Genomic DNA, 13696 nt, shown 5'->3' with positions numbered 1-13696 from the left:
TGCCATGTCATTCGCTGCTGACAAACAGCTCCTTGAAGGTATAGGACATCCAAAAGCCACTCTCATTCAGCACGTGGGGCAGAGGAATGCTTACCGTCCTAAGCCATCCACCAGCATTGGGTGCACCATGGATGCCAGGCCACAGTGACTACAGGACTCTGCAGGGCCTCCATTGATCAGAAGAATCAACCATCTTCCTTGCCAGCAGGCGGCTGGCCTCCCATGACAACTTCTCCGGGGAATTGTAAAGAAATCAAATACACACTTGAGAAACAGGCCCAGGTCCATTGCTCACCACTTCCATGCCATTCTCTACTGTAGTTCAACCAGTGCACCTACTTGTCCTTGGCCTCCATGACTGATCTCCATCTTTATGAATATACAATACCCATGCCATTCTGTGGATACCTAGGGAACATGTGTGGCCAGAACTACTGCACGTGCCCGTTTCTGCGTCTATTTGCTTTTTTCTGTGGGCTCCTGTGTGTGTGTGTGTGAGTGTGTGTGTTTATTTGTCATTTTCTGTCTGTGTGTTGTGTTTGTGAGTTTGCGTGTGTGTGTGTGTGTGTGTGTGTGTGTGTGTGTGTGTGTGTGTCCCTCCCTGGGGTGCGCATATGTTTCCGAACACTGCAAAGGGCCACGATGGTCTGCAGCCTCCAGGTCCGACCCTGTGGCAACCGGACAGCTCAAGAACAAGGTCTTCAATCAGTAGGATGTGAACTCTGACCTCAGGCCATGCAGACATAGGTCTGAGGTCCCTCCCCTAACAGCCACCACTCCTGGCGCGAGCACATGCTCTTCCTCATGGGGCTTCTGATGTCTGGAACTGACACTGTCTTTGGCCACTGTCCCAGGTGAGGTGTACCTAGCCAAAAACCAACCACAACCAGCACTGGAGAGCACCATCACAACAGCCAGCACGTCAGTCTGGAACTCAGCATCAAGCCCAGAGACAGTCTTCCCCATGTAGCCAAAGGACCTCAAGACATGAGCTTCCTCCCCTCCACTCAGTCCTGGTGCCTGCACCATGCCCTCAGGACATCCGAAGGTAATGTCTCCTTTTATTACAGGATGTCCTGCCTGATCCTACAAGGACCAAGCAGACAGGACACATCACCTTCCATCACCCTTTCCTTGATCACATCCATAGGATTTTTATGCACTGACCTCCCAGGCACCATCCCATCCTGCAGCCAACTTGACAACACTATCACTGACCCCAGTGCCTCCAGGTCAACACGGCCTCAACACCACCACTGGGACTAATTAATATTGTCAAAATATCCATACTACCCAAAGTTATCTACTGATTCACTATAATTCCTATCAAAATCACAATCACATTTTTCCAGAAATAGAGAAAAAAATCATACAATTTATCTGGATCCACAAAAGAACCAAAATAGCTAAATCAATATTCAGCATGAAACACAAAGGTGGAGGCACTTCTTGATTTCCAAGTATATAACAAAGCTATAGTAATTCAAAATACTAGAATACTGGCAAAAAACAGACATAATCTAATGGAAAAGAATGAAGAATGCAGAAATAAATCCATGTACTCTACTCAATTTATCTTTGACATGGGTGCTCAGAGCACAGTTTATCTAACTAATCATATTTGGCATACTGGATATCCGCAAATTAAAAAAAAAAAGTAAACTGAATCCTTACCTTACAACATACACAAAAATCAACTCAAAATAAATTAAGTACTTAAAGATACATCTTGACATTGTAAAACTAGAAGAAAACACATGGAAACCCTTCTTGTTTTTGTCAATAAGTTTTTGAATGTGACACTAAAAGTATAACCAACAAAAGCAAAAACAGACAAGCAAGACTACATCAAACCTAAAATGTTTGTACATGAAGGGAAACAATCAACAGAATGAAAGAGGAAACGTACCAAATGAGAGAAATATTTGCATATCATATCTCGTAAGGCTTTCACATGCAGGATGGGCATGGTAACTCATGCCTGTAATGTCAACACTTTGAGAGGCCATGGTTTGAAGATTCCTTGAGCCTATGAGTTTGAAACCAGCCTGTGCAACACAGTGAGACCCCCATATCTACCAAAAAATAAAAATTAAAAAACAATTAGCTAGACGTGTTGGCATGTGCCTGTGGTCCCACGAGCACGAGGTGGGAGGCTCTCTGGCACCTGGAAAGTTGAGGCTGCAGTGAGCCATGATTTTGGCACTGCTCTCCATGCTGAGCAACACAGCACGAAGGAAGGAAGGATGTGGATGTGATCAAGGAAGGGAGGAAGGGAGAAAGGGAGGGAGGAAGGGAGGGAGGAAGGGAGAAAAGAAGGGAGGGAGGGAGGGAGACAGGGAGGGAGACATGGAGGGAGACAGGGAGGGAGACAGGGAGGGAGGGAAGGAAGGAAGAAAGGAAGGAAGGAAGGAAGGAAGGAAGGAAGGAAGGAAGGAAGGAAGGAAGGAAGGAAGGAGGGAGGGAAGGAGGGAAGAGAGGGAGGGAGAGAGTGAGGGAGGGAGGGAACAAACTCAGATTACAACAAAAAACCCTAATTTTAAAAAAGGGGCAAAGTAATTGAATAGATTTTTTTCCAAAGAAGATAAACAAATGGACAACAGGTATATGAAAACATGCTCAGTATCACTAATTACTAAACAAATGCAAATCAAAACCATAATGAGGTATCACCTCACATCCATTAGAAGATACAATTGAAAAACAACGAGCCAGGCGTGGTGGCTCAGGCCTATAATCCCAGCACTTTGGGAGGCCAAGGCAGGTGGATCACCTGAGGTCAGGAGTTCAAGACCAGCCTGGCCAACATGGTGAAACCCTGTCTCTACTAAAAATATAAAAATTAGCTGGGCATGGTGGCAGGCACCTGTAATCCCAGCTACTCGGGGAGACTGAGGCAGGAGAATCGCTTGAACTCAGGAGGTGGAGGTTGCAGTGAACCAAGACAGTGCCATTGCACTCCAGCCTGGGCAACAAGAGTGAAATAAAAAACAGCAAGTGTTGGTGACAATGTGGAGAAACTGGAACCTTTGCATGCTGTTGATGGGAACATAAAATGGTACAGCCATTGTGGAAAAATGTATGGAGGTTCCTGAAAAATTAACAATAGAATTACCATATGATCCAGGAATCCCACTTTTGGGTATATATCCAAAGTAATTCAAAGCAAGATCTCAAACATACATCTGCATATCCATATTCACTGTAGCATTATTCATAATGCCCAAGAGGCAGAAGCAACCCAAATGCCCAAAGCAGATATATAAGGAAAATGTGATACATCCACAAAATACAATTTTATTTTCTTAAAGAAGGCATTTTCTAGGTATAGAACCATATCATTGGCGAACAGAGATCATTGACAAACTATGCATTTGACAGAAGCCTAATATCCTGAATCTATAGGGCACTTAAATAAATCAACAAGCAAAAATCAACCCCATTAAGAGGCACTTTTCAAAAGAAGATATAGAATGGTCAACAAACATATGAAAAAATGCTCTTAGTATCACTAATCATCAGAGAAATTCAAATCAAAACCACCATAAGGGCCCGATGCGGTGGCTCATGCCTGTAATCCCAGCAGTGGGAGGCCATGGTGGTGGATCACTCAAGGTCACGAGTTCGAGACCAGCCTGGCCAACATGGTGAAACCCCATCTGTACTAAAAATACAAAAAGTAGCCAGGCATGGTGGCACACGCCTGCAGTCCCAGCTACTTGGGACTCTAAGGCAGGAGAATCGCTTGAACCCGGGAGGCATAGGCTGCAGTGAGCAGAGATCACACCACTGCACTCCACCCTGGGCGACTCTGTCTCGAAAAACAAACAACGACGACAACAAAAAAAACCCCACAATAAGATAGTATCTCACAACGTCAGAATGGCTATTATTAAAAGCAAAAAAGAGAAAGATCCTGGCAAGCCTGAAGAAAAAGGGGAATGTTTAAACACTGTTGGTGGGAATGTAAATTAGTCCGGTCACTGAGGAAAACAGTCTGAGAATTTCTCAAATAACTTAAAACAGAGCTACAGTTTCACCCAACAATCCCATTTCTGGTATATACCCAAAAGAAAATAAATCATTCTACCAAAAGACACATGCACTTCAATGTTCATCACTGTGGTATTCACAAGAGCAAAGACATACAATCAACCCAGGTACCCAGGACTGGTTGTATTAGTCAGGGTTTCCCAGAAGGACAGGACTAATAGGATAGATGTATATATAAAAGGGAGTTTATTAAGGAGGATGGACTCACACAATCACAAGGTGAAGTCCCATAATAGTTCCTCTGCAAGCTGAGGAGCAAGGAAGCTAGTCTGAGTCCCAAAACCTCAAAAGTCGGGAAGCCAACAGTGTGGGCTGAAGGCCTGAGAGCCCCTTGCAAACAACTGGTGTAAGTCCAAGAGTACAAGAGCTTGAAGTCCAATGTTCAAGGGCAGGAAGCATCTAGCATGGGTGAAAGATGAAGGCTGGAAGACTCAGACAGTCTAGTCCTTCTATATTCTTCTGCTTGCTTTATTCTACCAGCAGCTGATGAGACTGTGCAGCTGATTAGATTGTGCCCACCCAGATTGAGGGTGAATCTGTCTCTCCCAATTCACTGACTCAAATTTTAATCTCCTTTGGCAACACCTTCACAGAGACACATCCAGGAACAATACTGTGCATCCTTCAATCCAATCAAGTTGACACTCAATATTAACTATCACACTGGTAGACTGGACATAGAAAATATGGAGCATTTTCACCTTGGAATACTATGTAGCCATGAAAAAAGAATGAAATCATGTTCTTTACAGCAACATGAATAGAGCTGGAGGCCATAATCCTAAGCACATTGATGCAGGAACAGTAAACTAAATGCCATACATTCTCTCTTGTAACTGGGAGCACTTGAAGGTAGAAGGTGGGAGGAGAGTGAGGATCAAAAAACTACCTATCAGGTACTATGCTTATTACCTGGGTAATGAAATAATCTGTACACCAAACCAACATGACTCACAATCTACCTATATAACAAACTTGCACATGTACTCCTAAACCTAAAATTTAAATTTTTTAAAAATGTATCAATTACTAGACAATAAAGATACAGAGAAATAAATAATAAAAATTCACTAGAAAAATTTAATCACACTATTTGAGCTAGCAGGAAAAGGTAATCGAATTTGAATACAGGACAGTTGAGGAGATCCATTCTGTGAAGCAGAAAGAAAAAAGAAAAACAGCTTCAGAGAACTGAGGAACACAGCATATCAACATGTTCATAAAAGTCACAGTAGAAGGGCAGAAACAGTTTGAAGAACAAACGCCTAAAATTTCCTTAATGTAAGGGAAAAACATACATGTACATATAAAATGAGTCAAATGAACTTGACTCACTCAAGTGAGATACACATAAAGACATGGAGACGTCATAGTAAAAATTTCAAAAGCCAGTCTTCAAAATATGAAGAGAAAAACAAACCCATCAGGTACAAGGAATCCTCAATGAGACTAACAGCTGATTTCTCATCAGAAACTCTTGAAGCCATAAAACAGTAAGATAACATATTCAAACTATTTTAAAGAAAAAGAAGTAAGACTGTCTACCCATAGATCTTGAAACAGCAAAAGTACTCTTCAAAAATAAAAAAGAAATGACATTCTAAACCAACAAAAGCTGAATTTGTCAAAATACCTATCCTACCAGAAAAATTAAATGGAGACTTCAGCCTTAAGTGAAATAGCACTAGACATTAACTTTGATCCATATGAAGAAATGCACAGGACCAGTAAAATAATTATTAGGCAAATATAAAAGATGGTATAAATGTTTGAATGACAATAATATACAAAAGGAAGGGTGAGAAAACAGAGCTATATTGAAAAATAGTTTCTGTGTACTATTAAAATTAACTATTAAATCTAAGCTATATTATAAATTAACAAATTAACTATAATCTCAAAGGCAACCACTAATAAGTAAACACAAAAAATTAAAAAGAAAATTAAAGCAGTACACTATTACTTATTTAACATAAAGAACAATAAGAAAAACAAAACAGATATATGCCATAAAAGAAAATAGAAAATGGCAGATGTGAATTTTACCTTATCAGTAATTACATTAAATGTTCATGAAGTAAACTCTCCACTTAAAAGGCAGAGATGTATCTTTTTAAAAAAACACATGATACAACTATATGCTCTCTACAAAAGATACACTTTAGATTCAAGGACAAAAAATAGGTAGAAAATAACCATCCTGGGCAAGATACCAAGATTTCATCTCTACAAGAAAAAAAATACAAAAAAATTAGCCAGGTGTGGTGGTGTTGGCCTGTAGTTTCAGATACTCAGGAGGCTGAGGTGGAAGAATTGCTTGAATTACAAGAGTTTCAGGTTGCAGTGAGCTATGATCATGCCATTGCGCTACAGCATGGGTGAGAGAGTGAGATCCTGTCTCAAAGATATTTTGTTTTAATTAAAAATAGGTAGATAGTAAAATAATGACAAGATAAACTGCATACAGTAACCAGAGAGAGTTTATGGGCTATAAGTCAGACAAAAACTACAATTATCAGGCTAAATAAATTTCAAGATAAAAATTGTTGGTAGAGGGCCAGGCACGGTGGCTCACGCCTGTAATCCCAGCACTTTGGGAGGCCGAGGTGGGTGGATCACGAGGTCAGGAGATCGAGACCATCCTGGCTAACATGGTGAAACCCCGTCTCTACTAAAAATACAAAAAATTAGCCAGGCGTGGTGACAGGTGCCTGTAATCCCAGCTACTCGGGAGGCTGAGGCAGGAGAATGGTGTGAACCCAGGAGGCGGAGCTTGTGGTGAGCAGAGATGGTGCCACTGCACTCCAGCCTGGGCAACAGAGCGAGACTCCATCTCAAAAAAAAAAAAATTGTTGGTAGAGACAAAGGACATTTCATGATGATTAAACTGTCAATCCATCAGGAAGATATAACAATAATAAAGATACGTGCATCCAACAACATAACCCCCAAATTAAATTTTAAAAATGACAGAATGGAAGGCAAAATAAACATTATAATAACTGAAAATTTCAATACCTCACTTTCAATGATGAACATAACAATGAGACAGAAGATCAAGGAAATAGAAGACAAACAACACTATAAAACAGTTACATAACATCCATCTATGGAACAATCTAACCAGTAGAAAATATATTATTTTCAAGTGCACATGGAACAGTGTGCAGGGTAGGTATTAGACCACACACTGGTATCAACAAATCTGAAAGTAAAGAAATCAGAAAAGTATGGTGTCCAACCACAATAGAATCATATCAGAAATAAAGGAAAAAAATTGGGGGGAATTCACAATATATGGAAATTAACACATTACTAAGAATCATTGGGAGTTCTTGGGAGAAATAAGAAAATTTATAAAATAGTTTGAAATCAAAGGAAACAAAACACAACAAAAGAAAATATATATGTAGCTAAAAGAGTTCTTTGGGAAATTTATAGCTGTAAATGTCCATATTAAAAAAAGGAAAATCTCAAATCAATAATCTAAACTTTTACCTTAAGAAAACAGAAAAACAAAGCAAAGCTAAATCAAGTAGAATAAAAGATATAAGAATAAAATGCCAATAAATAAAATAAAAAATACAGAAGAAAAATAAAAATATCAAAAGCTGGTTCACTGAAATTTTTTGTTTGTTTAGTGACAGGCCAGGTGTGGTGGTGTGTTCCCACACTCCCACCTACTCAAGATGCAGAGGTAGCAGGATTGCTTAGGCTCAGAAGTTCAAGGCCAGCATAAACAACACAGTAAGACTCTGTCTCTTAAAAAATTGACATAACTATATCTACACTACTGAAAACAGAAGACCCAATTTTCATAAAATCTGGGATGAAAATCAGACTAACACCCTTATATAAACAAGTTATGTCAACAAATTACATAACCTAGATTAAATAGGCACATTCCTAGAAATATATAAATTACAGGAACTGTCACAAGAAGGAAAAACAGAAAATTGAAGTCACCTTTAACAAGAGATTGAATTAGCTACTCAAGTTTCCACAAATAAAATTCCACACAAATGATTTCTCTGATGAATTCTACCAAATCATTAAAGAAATAACATCAATCCTTCACAACTCTTCCAAAAAACAGGAGAGCAGAAAACATTTCCCAACTTATTCCATGAGTCTACTATTACCCTAATTTTTATCAAAACCAAAGACATCATCAAAAGTGAATCACAGACCAATATCCCTAATGATGCCAGGCATGGTGGCTCCTGCCTGTAATCCTAGCACTTTGGGAAGCCAAAACAAGAGGACTGCTTGAGCCCAGTAGTTCAAGACCAGCCTTAGCAACACAGTAAGATCCTATCTTCACAAAATAAAAAATTTAAAAATTAGCTATGTGTGGTAACACATACCTGTATTCCTAGATACTTGGGAGGCTGAGGGTGGAGGATCACTTGAGCCCAGGAGTTAAGGGCTACAGGGTGAAGAGCTGAAGTGAGCTCTGACTGGGCCAATGTACTCCAGCCTGGGTGACAGAGAGAGACTTTGTCTTCCCAAATAAATAAATGAATAAATAAAATAAATTGGGCAAAATTCTACATTTGTCATTTCATGCAAAATTCAAATAGAATAAAAATGTAAAGGACAATGATTCAGAAATGAAGGTGGAGAGACTCACCAAAGTAAAATATACAGTATTTAGATATTATCCAGTAAGCCACTAAAAAAATCAACAAAAAGATCTCAGGATGTGGCATGGAACGCATGACGTATATGAATTCCAAAGGATGTTGGTTTAACTACTCACCCCTATTTTCTGAAGTGGAGGACCTCATTCCAGCCCTCCTCTACCTCAGCAAAACAAAATAGAAGAAAAAGAAATGGTCTCAGAAAATACTCAACAGTAAAAATAACAAAGCACTAAAATTGGTTCCTTTGTCAATATTTAATACAGGCATGCAGTGTTCCCTGCCTTCACTATACATCACAGTTCCTTGACCTTTCTTGACTGAAACTTTTTCATTTTTTCATTTGTTAATCAAGAACATATTTCCCATATATGTATCTATCTACAATTCTCTGCTCAAAATGAACAAAATAAAGTGAGTCTTGGGTCACTAACCATACTAAAGTGCATACTGACTCATAAGACAGGATGCTAATGCCCTCTTCGGAGAGATAGAAAAGGCACGCTCACAGAGGTACTATGTTGTCACTGAGGGATCCCCAAATAGAGCCAGGCTCTGAGAGTCTTATTTGTCCTATTGGAGGGCCACACATCTGGACCTCAGATTGACATCTGGAATGAGTCCCTCAGCATCCTCAGACAATTATTCTCATCATCGATCCAAACAAGCACCCTCCCAACAAATAAGCATTTCCACAGCCAGGCTTATTTTGTGCATGGTTATCTAATCCATCATCAGTGAGAAGAGTAAATGTACAGTAGACATTTGTTTAGTATCTGAATAATGGAACTCTCATATACATAGCATGAAAAAACATATGACTGAATTGTTCTAATAAAATTAGATTAAAATCTATTGGGAATTTTTTTTTTTTTGAGACAGAGTTTTGCTCTTGTTGTCCAGGCTGGAGTGCAATGGCACAATTTCAGCTCACTGCAACCTCTGCCTCCCGGGTTCAAGTGATTCTCCTGCCTCAGCCTCCTGAGTAGCTGGGATTACAGGCATGTGCCACCCCACCCAGCTAATTTTGTATTATTAGTAGAGACAGGGTTTCTCCATGTTGGTCAGGCTGGTCTCAAACGCCTGCCTCGGCTTCCCAAAGTGCTGGGATTACAGGCGTGAGCCAAGGCGCCCGGCCAGGGAAAAAATTTTTAAGTCCAATTAAGACCAATTAAATGAATTAAAACTTTTAGGAGTAGGCGAGGTAGCAAAATCAATATATACTGTGACTACATGACAAATATAAGTAGAAACATCTGTGTTCAGAATGTGCCAGATAAAATTTTTTAAATATTTAAGCCAGGCATGGCAGCACATGCCTGTAGTCCCAGCTACTCAGGAGGTTGAGGCAAGATGATTGCTTGAGCCCAGGAGTTCAAGGGCAGCCTGGGAAACACAGCATGACCCCATCTCTAGACTTTAAAAAATAAATATTTAATACACTGAATTTCACTAAAAGATTATTTTCATCCAACAAAAAATGGTGAGAAAAGGAAATATATCAATACTTCCCCCAATTTATTCAGGTTACTACAAAAAAATCCCTTTTTAAAAAAAGGGAAAAGATAATGAGATTCCTTGAACAAAGTAGGGATACTCACATAGCAAAAAAAATTATAAAATATTATAAAAAATATATAAAAAAATTATAAAAAAATTATAGAAAAAAGTTATAAAAATATTCTCCTTTGAGCCTCTAAAATCATGAACTCTCAGATCCTGAAATTCTGACATCACTGGCCACAACACACACAAACAATTTCAAAATCACCACAGCAGCTGCTCACCTCTCTTCCTTGAAATTCTGTGACATCTTCTAGACCTGCAGCAAACTATTAAAAACAAAGTAAATCAGATTAGACAATATACAAAATTCCCTAAAAAATAAGATACAAACATTGTTTCTGTAATAATTACCACAGAGCAATCTTTGCACAAGTCACAGATCTTTGGTCCTTTGTCACCTTTGTCATTTATTCATTTATTTCCTCCTCCAATTCCTCTTTATTTTTGAGATGGAGTCTTGCACTGTCGCCCAGGCTGGAGTGCAGTGGTGCAATCTCGGCTCATTGCAGCCTCCCTGTCTCTGATTCAAGCGATTCTCCTGCCTAAGCCTTCGAGTAGCTGGGACTACAGGCACGTGCCACCACGCCTGGCTAATTTTTGTATTTTTAGTAGAGATGGGGTTTCGTCATGTTGGCCAGGCTGTTCTTGAACTACTGGCCTCAAGTGATCCGCCCACCTCAGCCTCCCAAAGTGCTGGGATTACAGGCATGAGCCACCCCACGCTGCTAAAATTCTTCCTTCTTTAAATAGTAAAAATCGGCCAGGCACAGTGGCTCACGGCTGTGAGCAATTTTCTCTTCGAATCAGATTCTGAAGTTGTATTCCGCCAAATAAAGACTTTTTGAAAACGCCATGTGGTGGGTAAAATTAAATACACATAATAGGGGTGTTGTGAAACCAATATTCTAGAAGAGATAAAAACTTTAGGAATCTACTTCAATAGTACAGTAGATATATATCTCTCTCTCTGTGTGTGTGTGTATATATATATATATATATATATATAAAATCTTTGAGATCTATTTCAAAAAGTTACATAGAAATTAAAGATAGAAAGAACAGAAAAAATAAATGAAAAATTTCATAAAATAATTGGAAATCATAGAAAAGAACAAAATGTAATAGGGCACTTCCATTGTAAGACCTAAGAGAAGTAAGATGGAGTAAGCATAGTCCATCTTTACACAATCAAAGAATTAAGAATCTCAGGAGGGATGCACTGATACGGTGGCAGAGAACTTGGAAGGCTAAATGTTTGAAGGTGAATTGGGGAACTCAAAGTGCCATAAAACACCACTGAGTTTCATGTATTTTCCTTTTCTCTAATATCCCAGCCTGAATTCAGTATTGGAGAGTTCCTGAAAAATAAAAACATAAAACTGCTTGTTGAGTACAAAAACCAATACTTTTTTTTTTTTTTTTTTTTTTTTTTGGGTGAAACAGAGTCTCGCTCTGTCACCCAGGCTGGAGTACAGTGGCACAATCTCAGCTCACTGCAAGCTCCGCCTCCTGGGTTCAAGTGATTCTCCTGCCTCAGCCTCCTGAGTAGCTGGGACTACAGGCGCTCATCACCACGCACAGCTAATTTTTTGTATTTTTAGTAAAGATGGGGTTTCATCATGTTAGCCAGGATGGTCTCGATCTCCTGACCCTGTGATCCACCTGCCTCGGCCTCCCAAAGTGCTGGGATTACAGGCATGAGCCACCACGCCCCGCCACCAAGATATAACTTCTATACTTACTATTTCAATGTAACTTTTTTTTTACAATAAGAATAGTTCACATCAATATTCAACAGAATATTCATTTTGCATAGACTATTATCTGCCTTCAAATGTAACAAAAATTATCTTAAACATCACTTACAGACAGGTCCTCAAAATGTCAAATAAACACAGTTACTATATTCTCATGTATAATAGAATTGAAAACATAAACACACAAAAACCTCCACATAAATATTCCTGGCGGGATTAGTCATAATAGCCAAAAACTAGTGAGTGGATGAGCAAAATGTGATATATTTATACAATAGAATATCACTCCTCCATCAAAAAAAATGGAGATCTGATATATGCTGCAACATGGCCAAACCTTGAAAACATTAGGCTAAGTGAAAAAAATTCTGGGTAAAAAGGCTTCCTTCTAATATAAATGCTTCAAATGCAGGTATCTACAAGGCCTGCTGGTATTATAGTACTCATCCATTTATTTCACATTTTCATGTTTCCTGAGCATTTATGTATGCTTGAAGCCATATGCCCAAACCATTTCTTTTTGACATGTTCTTTTGCATTATTTTCATCAACTACTTTCAGACCTGCTGAACAGATACAAGACTATCCATAATTCCTGGATTATTTCCACCTGGATTCCCTATTTGCTAACATCTTACAACATCTGTTTCATTTTTTTTTTGAAACATGTATATTATTTTATCCAAATGCTTGGAAAATTACAGCTATGACATTATCCCTTTATCCTTTAAATTGTTTTAATTTCTTAAAAACAAGAATTTTCTGTTATATAACCTCAGGCAATTATATAACTTAGGCAATTAATACTCACGTAACACTATAATCTACTTGAGGGACTGTCTTCAAATTTTGCCAACCTTCCTTATCCTTTTATAGACATCCTGAACCAATGTGATATTCCATTCTCATGTCTATATAGTCTGAAATAATCTGGACCATTTCCTCAGTGAAATTAGTATGTTTGAATACTAAAAGCAAAATATCAGTCAATTTGAGACTGATGTTTCCTCATGGGTAGACTCAGGTTTCTGCAGTTTAGTCAGTAATACTACAGAAATGAGACTGTGTTCTTCTCAGTGCATCCTATCAGCGCTGCCTGATGTTCCCACTACTGTGGTATTAACTTTCACCTCTTTAATTCAGGTGCTGTCAACCATGTTCTCCATCAGGAAGCTACTACTTTCCCTTTGTAACTGATAAGGACACCAAATGTCCTGTTTCTCTTAAAATTTTCTCCAAGTTTTAGCATCATTTGATGATTCCTGGCTGAAACAATTATGATTATTTCCAAATACTGATTTTCCAAATCTTGTCATTTCTTTATTAACGCTACCTATTGTACAGAAGAGCTTTACCGTCAACCTTGCCTAAGCATTCATTCGTATTAATAATATTTTAAACATCTTACTACCATTGATTAGGTCTCTCATCCTTCCGGAAACTGTGTCCAAATATTCCAAAATGGTGTCCGACAAAACCAGAGGTTGTTCACTGCTCAGTATCCAGTGGTATCCTATTTGAGGGATGCAGCTTTCCCCATCTCTGCTTTCTCCTTCTGTACTTTTTCTTCTTCAGCATTCTCAACATGTCAGAGACCCAGCTGCAAGAATCTCATATAGTCAATTTCCAACCCCCCAAATACCAGAATATACACAGTTAGAATGGCACTGTGCATTC

General features: G+C 38.8%; 1 long non-coding RNA gene and 1 other non-coding gene across 2 annotated transcripts in view; both read right to left on the bottom strand.

The window, feature by feature from the left end:
* The window catches only part of SNHG14 (small nucleolar RNA host gene 14), a 595855-nt gene that overhangs the window by 368132 nt on the left and 214027 nt on the right, over positions 1–13696 (bottom strand). The window contains exon 24 of the long non-coding RNA NR_146177.1: positions 95–229. This is a non-coding gene — a long non-coding RNA (small nucleolar RNA host gene 14). The remainder of the gene's footprint in view (positions 1–94; positions 230–13696) is intronic.
* On the bottom strand, positions 9291–9357 carry SNORD109A (small nucleolar RNA, C/D box 109A). Its single transcript, NR_001295.1, has one exon. It is a non-coding gene; the product is annotated as a small nucleolar RNA, C/D box 109A (small nucleolar RNA).

This window comes from Homo sapiens, chromosome 15 (assembly GCF_000001405.40).
Source record: "Homo sapiens chromosome 15, GRCh38.p14 Primary Assembly".
Taxonomy (NCBI): Eukaryota; Metazoa; Chordata; class Mammalia; order Primates; family Hominidae; genus Homo; species Homo sapiens.
This window is presented reverse-complemented; position numbering and strand designations above follow the sequence as displayed.